This window comes from Homo sapiens, chromosome 13, assembly GCF_000001405.40.
Source record: "Homo sapiens chromosome 13, GRCh38.p14 Primary Assembly".
In the NCBI taxonomy this organism is placed as follows: Eukaryota; Metazoa; Chordata; class Mammalia; order Primates; family Hominidae; genus Homo; species Homo sapiens.
In genome coordinates, this window is record NC_000013.11 from 52687248 (window position 1) to 52702006 (window position 14759).

At 37.1% G+C, this 14759-nt stretch overlaps 1 protein-coding gene across 6 annotated transcripts in view; it reads left to right on the forward strand.

The window, feature by feature from the left end:
• The window catches only part of SUGT1 (SGT1 assembly cochaperone of MIS12 kinetochore complex), a 48074-nt gene extending 34412 nt beyond the window's left edge, over positions 1-13662 (forward strand). For all 6 annotated transcript variants that reach the window (NM_001320831.2, NM_001130912.3, XM_017020365.2 and 3 more), the window contains one exon: positions 487-13662. In NM_001320831.2, the coding sequence (NP_001307760.1) occupies positions 487-588 (102 nt within the window). In that variant the 3' untranslated portion in view covers positions 589-13662. The remainder of the gene's footprint in view (positions 1-486) is intronic.

A 14759-nucleotide genomic window follows, 5' to 3' on the forward strand; every position in this document is an offset into this window, starting at 1 on the left:
GGATAAACTTGCATGTGTTTGGCACAAAGAGAGCACAAAGTAGAGGCCCTTCAAGTTCTCTTCAGCTGGTACAAGAAGAGATTATTTTGACTGGTCTTTACGGTCTTCAGCAAAAGAGATTATAATAATCATTTTTTTTGGGAGCTAATAATATTTTCAATTGAAGGTAGTTTTTCCACATGCACATCTATGCTCATTAGCAAAGGATGTAGTGCACCTCCCTGACTACTTTAGGATTTCCTTTTCAGATTTTATGGAACTTGTTAACCTCTGGAATGCCTAAGTTTAAATAAAAATATTGTTTTGAGTTTATATTGAGCTATATATTTTATCTGTATAATCTATTATATATGTATTGCATAGAGTTTATATTGAGCTGTATATAATAGCCAATATTTGGGGCTCTATGCTTGGAACATTTTAAGAAAAATATTCTATTTTGATTATATGGTCCAGGAATTAATCTATTTTTATTTTTCATTGCAGATGGAGTCGGGTGGTACAGTTTTGAGTACCAACTGGTCTGATGTAGGTAAAAGGAAAGTTGAAATCAATCCTCCTGATGATATGGAATGGAAAAAGTACTAAATAAATTAATTTGCTCTCATCGTATTGTGTATATTCACCTAATGCCCATTGTGTATTGATATTGCATTCTTGAATTTTGAACACTGAATATCTTTTTGAAAGATTATACTTCTTTACCTCTTTGTGCTTTAGAAATTATTTTCCTTCAAGTGTTCAAGTCTAATGAAGAATGAAGATAACATTTTATCACTTCTGTCCTTAAAGGTTTCAGACATGGTGAAACTGAATAAAGCATGTCATTTGCTCCTAGATAGATTCATTCTATCTAGTTGTGGGGATGGAGAAATCTTTAATGGTATATTTTCGGTTATTGCCTTATTTTTGATACAGTATTCTGTCAGTAATTTATTAGACCTGGCAGCTTTGGGTGAGCTTAGATTTTTCACCTTCAGTGTTACATTGTGTTTGCTTTTAAAAACTGCTTTTGAATGGAGTTGTAAATACAATTTTTCTATGAAGATGTTTGGTTTATTTACCTTTTTCTTAAGTTTTTAATGAGAACTTTGAGAAATTATCACAGGGAATTCCCATGTAGTTCTTTTAATGGGAAGAATTTGTAAATTTAATTGCACTGAGATATTTTGGTCGTTACCTTGCAAGTTTCTGTATAAAACATAGATACCTGAGTTTTAACACACTGCAAGTTTATACTAAGGATAATCTGTGAAGGTAGGGCAAAGAAGGTTCTAGGAAAGCCCAACTCCACTTGCTTCTTTTATCACGACAGGATTCTTGAAATTACAGCATTGGTGGGTTTTTTGGTATTTTTTTTCTTTATTAGAAAATCTCTGTTGTCACGTCCCCATGATTACTTTGGTTTCATTGGTTTATGGTAACTGCTGTGAGAGTAAATTAATGTGTATATGTTTAGTATTTACTCTGTGCCTAGAATATATAGATATCATGAGAATACAAAAAATTAAAGACATGATTATTAACTTCAAAGAGCTTATAAATGTAGCAGGGAAAAAAAATAACATTCATGAAGGAACTGTGGAAAGATTGAATGCTGAACTCGGTATAAATACACTTTAGAGACAGGAAAATGTTCTGTGATTAAAATTGTTTACAGTCTAGGCTGTTATAAAGTATAGACTATGGATGACCTGTAGATCTGACTTTGTTTTCTCACCATGATTTTCTCAACTGTAATACCCCAGATGTTGGTCTCAGCTCTGTTAGGTGTCACTAACATTTTTATGGCAAAGCACTACTCTATACCCTCAGAGCAGGGGGAGTGGGAGGCAAACGGGTCATCATTTCAGCCTCCAAAACAGTAGGAATTCAGCTCCTTCCTTCTCGTCCTTTGTTGTGGGGTGTAGGGGAGTTACTAAGGAAAGTTTCAGTAAGGTGATACCAGATGGTGCCCAAACCTGTTGTTATAGCTTGTTTAAGCATTCTAGAGTTTTCACTTGTCCTTCTGTCCACTTAGAGCTACTAGATACATTTTTTTCTTCTTGAACACTGAAGGAAAAGGCAAAATTAAGTTTTGGTTGGATGGATTTCTAAAGTTTTCTTCTTAGGAAAATAGGATAGTGACTTTTGTATTCTGTATGTTAAATTTTCTCAGTACCATTAATCCTAAGATGAAGAGGAAGGCTATTGCTGCAGAGGCATAGTTGAGGACGTATAGCACTATACCAGAGACAAGAATGCTTAGCTCTAGCAAGTCTTCTGTCATTGACTACCTTCATAATCTTCAGCAGGTTTAGGCCTTTCTTAGTTCCTTTGTAAATAATCCATAGAGTCTTAGAGTTATAATTAAAGGTCCATGGTTCTAAATACAGAAGCATATTTTTGCCGCTTAACTTTTTCTTTCTTAAAGATGACACTATTAAAATAGCTGTTTCTGACCAGGTGCAGTAGCTCATGCTTGTAATCCCAGCATTTTGGGAGGCGGAGGTGGGCAGATCACCTGAGGTCAGGAGTTCAAGACCAGCCTGGCCAACATGGTGAAACCCTGTGTCTACTAAAAATGCAAAAATTAGCTGGGTGTAGTGGCATGCACCTGTAGTCCCAGCTACTTGGGAGGCTCAGGCAGGGAGAATTGCTTGAACCGGGAGGCAGGGGGTGCAGTGAGCCAAGATCATGCCACTGCACTCCAGCCTGGGCGACTCCATCTCAAAAAAAATAAATAGCTGTTTAAAAAAAAAAAATCTGGTACTATCTTTAGTTGGTTTTAAAGGATATATTATCTAGAATATGCTTACCCATTGGCTAGATTTGCTAAGTGTTGTGGGATTTGGGATTTTGCTGGTCTGAAGGGAGTTTGTAAAACACATGACTGAAAGCATTATAAAACATACCTTGTCAAATACATTAGATTCATTATAGGTCAAGGGAATTTTGAAAAGTAGGCTAGATTGCTGCCTAAGAATCCCACTCTAAAGTACTGCTTTGTTTAATCATTCTAGATAATGGAAGCTTGTAAGCCTCCAGAAAGTTAAAACAAAAAACTTCTTTCTGATTAAGAGCCTCTTAACTCTATCCTTATCCTCTGCTATCTCAATGTAGCTATTAATTGTTCCCTCTTTGTTTCTAGACTCCAATTTTCATTTCTCAAATTTTGGTTCTCAGTGCTGTTAGTATTAGTAGCCTTTTGTTTCTTCAGAATGTATGTATTTTTCCTCTTAAATGTTTCCTTTCCCTTTTAAGGTTAGTCCTGGAATACATGTTTTTCTTGGTCTTGTAGACTTCATCTCTTCTGATTTCCATAATAATTTGCACCTTGATGAATCCAGAATTCTCCCACTGTCTTCAAAGAATCTTGAATAGAATAATCTGCTTTTTGAACTCTGCTATCTAGTAATCTCTTTAGATATCTATACCACAAGTTTGAAACATCAAGGTCAATTTTGATAATTTCCTGTCTTATGTCTTAATACCCATTCAGAGTTGACTGCCAACTAACAAGCTCAGCCTTTAGCACTGGCACTTACTGGCCAATCTGTTTTCTGTCTATAGGGAGTGAAATGGAATGGAGAAAGAGGATGGCTTGCATTAATAACTCTAGTTTTTAAAAACATTTTTATTCCTTTTTTAAAAATTTGTTTAGAGACACGGTCTTCTTCTATCACCTAGGCTGGAGTGCAGTGGTGCGATCATGGCTCACTGTAGCCTCCAACTCCTAGGCTCAAGTAATCCTCTTTCCTCGGCTTCCCAAAGTGCTGGGATTACAGGTGTGAGTCACTGTGCCTGGCCCACATTTTCATTCTTGGCTCACTGTAGCCTTAATCTTTCAGGCTCAAATGATTCTCCCATCTCAGCCTCCCAAGTAGCTGGGACCACAGGCATGCATCACCACGACTGGCTAATTTTTGTATTTTTTTTGTAGAACCGGGTTTCACCATGTGCCCAGGCTGGTCTTGAACTTCTGGGCTCAAGTTATCTACCTGCCTCAGCCTACCCAAAGTGCTGGGATTACAGGAGTGAGCCACCATGCCCAGTTATGAACTTCAAGTAAATATTTAAAATGGAGATACATCACAATGCTATTATGAATAATTTAGATAGAAATTTTAATTTAGTTCAGTACTTAAATATTTTTTGGCTCTTCTTTCCCACTTTACCTTTCTCTATTCCTTCCTCAGTTATCTACATATCAGATTAGATTATTGATATCTGAGATATATCACTGACCCAGAGCAAAATTGCATATTAGTTTACCATCTAATCAGCCTAATGCACTTAAATTCCCTTGGAATCTTTCCTGTTCAGATTGGTGTGCATCTCTCTGAACTTGTAGCTTTACTGACATTTCCAAAAAAAGGTAGACGGTTTCTAGGTGGTGTGTGTTTTTGTTAGTTACTAGAGCCACTTACCCTTTGTAACTAGCTCTAAAGAAGTACATCTTTTGCTCATACCTGCTACTGTAACCATATGACAGTATGGATTTAAGTTATTTCTGCCTAGAGGAATTAGATGATAAAAGCTAAAAGGACAAAATACTGGTTTCTGTGCAGGGAAGGGTCATATGTAGTTTTAAATAAAAGGGTTCATCTCTTTTGATGTGGTTTCCCTTTCTCCATCTGTGCATTTTTTAAATCGTAAGATCATTTTACACACACCAAGAGATTTTATTTTGGGAACTTGTGGGGAAAATATTGATTTACCTACAAATGTTACTATTTGGAGCCATCCTTGTGATTGGTTTCTGAGATTAATTTAACTCTTAGCCTCACTTCCTACCTTAGTAAAGTTGCTCCTCCAAATCAGCTAAAATCATATACAATGAATGCTGACTCATTACTGCAAATAGTGGTAGTTACTGTGTACTAGCATTTCTTATGGATTGGGTGGCATTATCTCATTTTTAATCGCCCTTCAATAGCATCCCATTATTGCAAATCAGAAAGATGATGGGGCCAAAGTAAAGTTCTTTGCCCAGGTCACTCTACTAGTAAGTAATTGCAATAGCTGGGATTTGAACCCAGGCCTATCAGACTCCATTACCCATACTTCTGACAACTGCAATCCTCTCATCAGGTTAATAAGCTAGATGTGGAATGAATGATTTTTATTACCAAATCAGCTGACTGGAAATGAAGCAGAGAATATTCAAGTTAAAGAACTAATTCTTTTTTTTTTTTTTTTTGAGACAGTCTCACTCTGTCGTTCAGGGAAGGAATGCAGTGGTGCAATCTTGGCTCACTGCAACCTCCACCTCCCAGGTTCAAGTAATTCTTCTGCCTCAGCCTCCTGAGTAGCTGGGATTACAGGCATGGGCCGCCATGCCCAGCTAATTTTTGTATTTTTAGTAGAGACGAGGTTTCACCATGTTGGTCAGGCTGGTCTTGAACTCCTGACCTCATGATCCGCCCACCTTGGCCTCCCAAAATGCTGGGATTATAGGCGTGAGCCACTGTGCCCAGCCAAGAACTAATTCTTATATAGGAGCTGGGAAGATAAATTCCTAGAGATCCTCACTTTCTTAAGTAGGAAAGCTTATTAGGAATCCAAATCTTTTGCCTCATACTGGAAGTAATGCAAAGAAGTAGTCTGATTTTTGAGAGGGTGCTGTTTTTCTCAAATCTAGATCATTACAGAGAAACAGTGTACTTTTAACAACTGTTGCATGTGTAAGAAGACTGGTACATGATGCCAATGAAATTCTTTTTTTCCTTTAACTTGGGAGCTCTCATACCAGTTCCGTTGTACAAATGCTGAGATTGTTTCAAGGTTTTATTCCTACAGACATGTTAGGATTTGTGTATCACTGATTTCTCCAATAAAATTTGAATATTTCAGGTTATTTCCTTTTTCCTAACTTATGTTAGCATTTTGTATATATATATATATTTGAATTTTGGCTTGTCTGGAGTCTTAAATATTTGGTATGCCTTCACATTTGGATTTTTAGTTTTATTTTTACATTGAGACTTCTACCTATATCATTGACTTTATTTTTTCCTATGATTAAAGGATTCAGTTATACAAAAAGATGTTTCAGAAACACTGCTATTTACCTAAAGGTAATTTTCAGTTTCTTTAGAAGGAGTTAGGAAAATGGTCCTTAATACCTATATAGGGTTTTTTAAAAAACTGTACCCTATAATGCAGCCACAGAAGATCTAAATAATAAACAATTGCGCATACTATTAATATATATTTAGAGCTTTTGTTAAGTACATGAAAAGACAGTATTGCATAGTGGTTAAATGCATGGACTCTGAAGCCATCCTGTTTGGGATCATCCTGGCTACATTGCTTACTAGCTGTGTGACAATGGATATAGGTGCTTAATGTCTCTGTGCCTCAGTTTTTGTGTCTATGTAAAGGAGATAATAGGATCCCCCTCATGCCTCATGGTCTTAGTTGAATGAATTCATGTAACTCCACAGGTATCTTAATCCAGAAGGCTCAAAATACTAATGTTTTGTGTGTGTGTGTGTGTGTGCATGTGCATCTGTATGACAAGTGATATAAAACGTGACCTGAATTTATAATATGAATAGTCACATTTTGCAGCAGAAATATTAAATGTTTAATTATAGAATGCTAGCACTGATCCTGCTGAAATTGTTACAAAATACAGCAGTTGCCCCTTAACTGTGGCAGATACATTCCAAGACCCCCAGTACTGAATGCTGTATGTACATTTTTTATACATGTATACTTATGATAAAGTTTATAAATTAGGCACAGTAAGATATTAATAATAGAATATACAATATACCGCAATAAAACTTATGTGAACAGTTATTTTTGGACAGCAGTTGACTGTGGGTCACTGAAATTGTGGAAAGCAAAACCATGGATAAAGGGGAACTATTAATAGTCTATCTGTATTGCATTATCTTCTAAAATCCAAAATTCTGACTTCAAAAACTCATCTGAGGGTTTTGGAATTGTGTATCTATGTGTGTGAAGTGCAAAGAGCAGTGCTTCATGTGACAGATAACATCAGATGATCCTAGGCTGGAAGGTGGAAATCCTAGAGAAGATTTTTTTGTGTTGTAAGTTCAGTCTTTCAAGATGTGGAATTCTGTCTGAGGAAAGTATATCACCTAGTTAACAATTGTTACTGTAATTTATAAAATTTGTACTTTGGAGAGCATAAGAATTCATGAAAAGTTTTTAATAATTTTACTTAAACAGAGCTTAATTATGTAAGTATTGTCAGCACTTTATAAAGAATCGTAAAATAAAATAGTGGCAGAAAATATAAACTAGATGTAGAATGTTAAGGAACTTTCGGAAGTTCTCTGGTTTTCATTTCAATTTCAAAGCTCAAAACAGAAGGTAAAACTATTAGGATTTGTGAAAAATACAAGGTACAAAATCACGCAGTTTATAAACCACAGATTGTCTTGTTATTCCCATCAGTGAAAAGAAGCTGATATTTGTTTGTGTTTGTTTTTGTTTTTGTTTTTGAGACGGAGTCTTGCTCTGTCGCCCAGGCTGGAGTGCAGTGGCGCCATTTTGGCTCACTGCAAGCTCCGCCTCCCGGTTCACGCCATTCTCATGCCTCAGCCTCCCAAGTAGCTGGGACTACAGGCGTCCGCCACCATGCCCGGCTAATTTTTTGTATTTTTAGTAGAGACAAGAGTTTCACCGTGTTAGCCAGGATGGTCTCATCTCCTGATCTTGTGACCCGCCCGCCTCGGCCTCCCAAAGTGCTGGGATTACAGGCGTGAGCCACCATGCCCAGCCTGCTGGTAGATGTTTTTATGAGTTAATTCATCAATCTTATTATTCTTGCCCCAAATGAATCAGTGTGGAGCATATACAAGTGTGTAGACATTAATATGGGCTCACTGTCAGCTGGGAGTTCTCACAACTACCACTTTTTACTGATTATCTGTTTTCTAAACTTTTTCTGTGGCTTGAAGTGACTGAAAGTGAACACATTCATAAGTAATGAGCTTAGGCTGAGGATATATATCCAGTGGGGGATGAAACATGCTTAAGAAATTGAGTGCATTTCCTTTATTATTGTTATTATTTTGCTATTTCAAAACAATTGACTTTAAAAAATTATACTTCACCACAGAGACAGGTGTTGTTTTGTAATGGAAGGAGTAGTAACTTATGAATCTAGACTCTTAAAATCCCAGTTCTGATACTTTCATAATTGTGTGTTTTGAGGGCAAGTGACTTATCTGAACTTTTTTCTTTTTTATAACACTGGATGATAATTAACCCTCAGGATTGTGAGGATTTAATAACTAAGTCCTGACTCAAATTATGTTACCAATAAATGCTACTTAAATGTAAAGTCCTTGATTTATTTTTTCCCCTCAGTCCTGTTTAGTGTTGAAATTCTTCAAAGGAGGGTGAGTCTGGCATTTACCTGCTATTCAAGAGTTTTCAGAATTCAACCCCAGCCAAAATTTTTGGCCACATCTCTTGTCACTGCTTTGCTGTGTACTAAAGCTCCCAGACACACAAGAATCTTCTAGTCATGGTCAAACTTTTTCTGCAAAGGGCACTTACAGTCTATTGCATATTCTTTGTTTTTAGTGTTCAGACATCTGCTGTTTCTGAATATGTCGTGTATTTTCATTCCTTTTTCTGCCCCTCCTGGGCATCTCCAGTTTCCTACTGATGTGTCAAAACTGAGTTTGTATGCTACCTCCAGGAAAGCAGTCTAATCTTTTGCAACTCTGTTACTGACTTTTGTGGCATTGGATTGGGTTATTTGCTTATGGTTGAGACATCACTGGATCCTTTGATGGAGTCATACCAAAACCACAACATGTCATGAGCATGCTTGAGAGTGCTAATCTATTCCTTGTTTGTCAGACCAGTACATTACAGTTGGTTCATTTCTTCCCCCGTGTGACTGAGTTTCTTGAGGGCGCGGTCTAGCTTCCATCTTTGTATGTGTAGCACCTGGTACATAGAGAACAGGCTCCCAGAATTGGATGGATTTGCTCATGGTCTTATCACTGCACAGAATGCCCTTATTTTCTTCCATTCATTCTATGAGATCTCAATTAAAATGTCAGTACTCTTGTGGAACTCCCCTCTCCATGCCCTCTACTGAAATGCATTGCCACTCTAGTTGTGATGTGGGAGTGCCTTGTTTATGCCTCTATTTATGACACCTTCATGGTGTCACATGTTATAGGGTTAGTTGCGGCTGTGTCTGTTTTACCTTGTGTGTCTTGGTCAGTTAGTGTTATTTACTTAAGCTTTGGATCTTTGATACATAGCGTAGTGCCTTTCACATAGTATGTACTCAAATATTGGAAGTTACTCATCCCAAACCATAGTGTTTAAAATTGGGGTTTTTTAAAAATGTCAAGCCCTTAAAGTTGATCATTTATTTGTCAATGTAAATAGAATAGTAATTTGTTTTCAAAAAGATGAGGTCTTGCTGTGGTGCTCAGGCTGGAGTGCAGTGGCTGTTCACAGGCGTGATAATTGTGTGTTACAGCCTCAAAGTCCAGGGCTCGAGTGATCTTCTCACTTCAGCCTCCTGAGTAGCTGAGACTAGGCGTGCACCACCGTTTCTGACAGGATTTTAATTTTTAAGTAGGTTTTTAACCCACAGCCACGAGAGCTAATTTTAACTACATTGTTAGAGGTAGTAACAGTTATATAACTAATCAAAACCAGTGTGATATCCAAGTACTTTTTTTTTTTTTTTTTTTTGCTATTTAATTTTGAGATACCATTTTTTGGAGGGGTGTCCTGATTTATTTTATTTATTTTATTTATTTATTTTTATTTTTTATTTTTTTAGATAAGGTCTTGCTCTTGCCCAGGCTGGAATGTAATGGCATGGTCGCAGCTCACTGCAGCCTCCGTCTTCTGGGCTCAAGCAATCCTCCTTCCTCAGCCTCCTGAGTAGCTGGGACTACAGGTGTGTGCCACCACTCCCAGCTAATTTTTAAATTTTGTGTAGAGATGGGGTCTCCCTGCATTGCCCAGGTTGGTCTCTCAAACTCCTGGGTTCAAGCAGTCCTCCCACCTTGGCCTCCCAAAGTGTTGGGATTATAGGCGTAAGCCACTGTGCCCGGCTGTTTTTTGTTTTGTTTTGTTTTGTGTTTTAATTGAACGGACTGAAGTTTACTTTCTAACTAGGTTAGCCCTCCATTCATACAAAATTATGAGCCCAAATGTCTTGGGGAGAGTACAGGAGAGGCCAGATCTTAAAAGCCAGGAGTGGAATTAGGTTTGAGCATATGTAGCAATATGGAAACAAAGAGTGAGTCAATTTATAAGCATACCAATCTTCTTGGAGACAAAAGTTTGAATTGCTCACGTGTCCATTTTTTTTCTGGAATCCCTGAAGAAATTTTGAGATACTGAGTACTAGAAAACCCTCTTTGATGAGGGTTGTATACTTTATTTTTAAACAGTATCAACACCGTTGAGGCCCTTCAAGTCTTTGCAGTCAAAAGCCATACACTTTTTCTTTGAGTGAGCCTTTACTTTAAGGTATGTAGTAGAATAATATAGGTATCTGAAAAAGAACTTGGTTCATGACATCCACTCATTCATTTATGCACTTAGCAAATATTCATTGATTGCCAAATACGCATCAGACACTGAGCTAGGTGCTAGGTACTAGGTAAACAAAATTCCCTGCCTTCATGGAGCTTAGCTTGTGGTGGTGGAAAGAAGCCCTCAGCCTGAATACTCAACTTATGTCTGCCGTTTATTCCTTAACACATTAAACTATAGGTAATAGCATATGTTAGTCTAATCTTTGTTTAGCAAAGCTATTTCTTGTTCTGGAATATAAGTACAGTTACAGCAGAATAAGTACCAAGGCAAGATTGGAGAATGACCGGTTGTGAACAGGGACTTAGGAATATGTGTAGCATAGGATTTTATTTTAGAGTTGTTAAAATCAGATCAACAGAGCATGTTTTTATGGGCCATCTGACAAGACTAGAGGTAGCTTTGGAACCTCTTATTCCCTGGAATGCAAACATGTATTTGCATTTCATCCACTGTCAGTATGAGGAGACAAAAACGAAGTCAGGATTTTGGAGCTGGAATGGATCTTAAATACTATGTAGTCCAAACGTTTGGTTTTACAGATGCACTTTTTCCAGAGTGCTGTCATCTCATATACTTTTTTCTTCATACAGGTTTTTAATGTAACTCACTCAGATCGTTGGTGATAGACTCTCTCTTAAAACTTATTTATCCTAATCTTTTTTTTTTTTTTTTTTTTAAGAGACAGGGTTTTGCTCTGCTGTCCAGGCACACAATAGCTCACTGTAACCTCCAACTCCTGGAGTCAAGTGATCCTCCTGCCTCAGCCTCTCAGGTAGCTGGGACTGCACTACTAGTGCACTAAGCTAATTTTTAAATTTTTTTTGTAGAGACAGGGTCTTGCTGTGTTGCCCGGGCTGCTCTCTTAACTCCTGGCCTCAAGTAATCCTCTTGCCTTGGCTTCCCAAAGTGCTGGGATTACAGGCGTGAGCCACCATGCTTAGCTGATTTGCCCTAATCCTCTGCTGACATTCTGATATCGGACAACTAAAATTATAACATTGGGCAGCTATTTTGTATGATATATAGGGTAGTGGTTCTTAAGCTTATTGGTGAGTAACCTTCACTTGGGAAGCTTATTTTTAAAAATGTAGACCTTCATTACTTTCCTCCTGAGATTTTGAATCAGTACCTTTGAGAGAGGGTCCAGTAAATCTTTGTTTTGAATGAACTGATGGTTTTGAAGCAGGTGACCTGGAGGACTGCATGTAGAACACAGTGATGTCAAGGAGTAAAGGAGAGAACAGAAGTGAGATTAGCACTAATCACCTCTAATGCCTTATTTCCAGTAAAGTTTAGAGAAGAGGAAAAGCTACTTGGCTTGCTCCTTTGAAGGTTTTGTTTCCCTCTTAACACAGAAATTAAAAGGTAGAGGAGAGATGCTGAATGATGCTTTTTTTCTTCTTAATCTTGGGGGGTCATTATGATTAAGTTATTGAATCCATATCACCGTATGACAGCACATGATGAAAGAAAATCAAATGTTTGTTTCAATCAAAGTGAAACAAAATGAGAATAACTATTTGGGCAAAACACTTTTATCACTGCTAAGATATTACTAGAACTGAGCAGAGAAATACTCAGAGAGAGCCATGGCATAGTACTAATTAATAATGGGGTACCATTTAGCAACTGGAATATTCTCCGATGATGCCTGTTTAATTACCCATAGGTGCTAAGTGAATGTTAAAAATTACGGTGCTGGTTGAGTAGGCCGAGTAGAATTTGTGTTAGGGCACATCCCATGGAGATCTTTTTTACTGCTTAATTTTTTGGAGTTACCTCAGTAACTTAACAGGCAGGAATATGGTTTTAATGGAAAGGAAACCATTTGCCTTTAACAGCATTAGTCCCGCTAAGAGAAAGTTTTTGCTTGTCTAGTTTATTACAGGTCTTTGACTTTGTCAGTATATGGCAAATTTAGTATAAAAGATGATTAATTATCAAGGCTGATGAAATATAGGCAGCTGAAAAGAAAATTCTTAGCAATTCATACCTTAGAAGGAACCCTGAAGGACAGGACGCCATAGAAATCCTGTTTTTTTAAAAAAGTAATTTCAAGTAAGTTTGCAAATGCAATGCTAGTAAAAAGTATATAGAGGTATGTCTTTCACACTATCTTGTTACTATTAGAATTTTTGTAGCCATGTGCAGAGGAGAGAAAAGGTGTTGGATTTTCTGCAGTTCTGATTCAGTTCTAAGAATTTGGTGTGAAAAGAATGTTTGCAAAGGAGCAGGCACAAAGGTGAGAACAGGAATACGAAACACAACATCTGTAAATGACTAAATTCAGAGGGAATTTAGTGGGGCATATCTCTTAAATGGTTTTGAATAATTTGGTGTTTTAACCAATGACTTAATTTAACTTAGTGGGTATACTGTTCCCAGTCCCATTACTGATTTTTATTCCTCTGTGATAACATACACCCAAATAAAGACTGCTATGTATTTGACTTTAAAACTATAAAGATGTAAAAAAGGTTCACTAAGCCAAACACCTTAGAAAATAGCCTCAGCTATTTGCTATGTTTATATTATACCTGCATAAAAGTATTTATGTATAGATGTACTTACCTTACACAGTAAGTACCTAAAATTTGTAAATTGAATACTTTTGAATGTAAGCAGTTGAAGTAAAACCTGTAGTGAGTTCTTCAGTCAGTCAACACTAAACCTGTTTTGTAAATTTGATGCTAGTATTATACTGGACTTTCTCAAAATGAAGTACACCTATATATGCATATAGTATATGAGCATGTGTATTTGTACAAAAGCCCTTCAAAAGGAGTTCAGCTTTTATAAACACCAAAACACTCTCTGCCTGTAAAATGTTTTTGCTGAAATTTGTATCATTAACTCTCAAATTTACATCTTCATGTTTGAGATACGCTTTTAGGACTGTCTATGCATGTAGACTTTGGTCAACTCTCTCCTCCTCCCTCAATAAATCAGTTAACTTAAAAAATATATTGTGACCATTTTTATAAAATACATGTTCATAAAACAGATCAACATATTTAGCTTATACAGAAATAAAATTAAGTCAATCCACTCACAAAGAATTTCTATTTTGTAAAAATGTAGCTTGTATTTCAGTATAATAAAATCTGATGTAAGAAACTGTTGAGTGGGTTAAGTGGTTATTCTTAGTATTATATCTACTTTTTTAGTGTCACAGTTATTTGAGGTGCTGGTGGAAGGGGAGGTGTAAAAACACACAAGTTTTTGCAGCCAGAAAATGAAAACATTTTCCATGTGCTGACTAAATGGCAGCTGTCACATATTTCCTTCCATTCCGAGTCAAACTAGGACCTTGAAATCTAACTTGAGATGTTCCATCAGGATTGGTTTGTACCACTACTGAGAATTAAATGAGTATCTAATGAAGTACCAATAATACACATAAGTCTATACACACATACTAACATTTCAGTCAAGATTCAGCACAGCAAACTGGGCTGTATTTGCAACTTTTAGACTGGCCTGGTTAAAAGTAATTTGAGAAATTAGTAGTACCAAGTTGTGAAGAAATTTGTAATTCTTCCCTGTTGCCCTCTCTTCCTTTATTGAATGCTCATCTGTCCACTTCTCTTTCAAAGTAGACCCTTATTTTCATCCTTGAATACAATTTAAGTCTCCTTTGTCATTCCTATCCTTAATCCAACCTTGAATTTTTCCTCTGTTATTAAATCATCCTGATTTTTTCTGTTAAATTGATGTCCTTGGGTATTTAGTGACGTTTCATAACACAACATAATCCCTTGGCCTGTTAGAAGTAAATTACGCACCTCCTATATTTTCATCTAATTATGAAGCTTTGAAAGGGAGCATCTTTTCAAAAGTCAGCCTTCCCTTATGACCTGCTGTCCTTATTAAGATGCCTCTTTGGCCTGTATGGCACCTGCTCAGTTTTCACATGGGAAGCTACCAAGGGGGATTCATCTAAGGTGAAAACTTAACCAGCTCCCTCCTTGCCTGCAACTTTTCATTTCCTATTTCCTACACACACACAGACACACACACACACACACACACACTCCCCAGATTAACATGCCACTTAAAGCTTCTGCCTACATTTTCATCTTGATATTTCCTACCCCGACCTGAATGCTGTTTTCCTGCTTGTACCATGCAGCTTCACTTCACACCTCTGGTCTTACTCAAACTCCCTCTGCCTGGAATGCAAATCTTCTGTCACCTTCACTTGGCTAATTCCT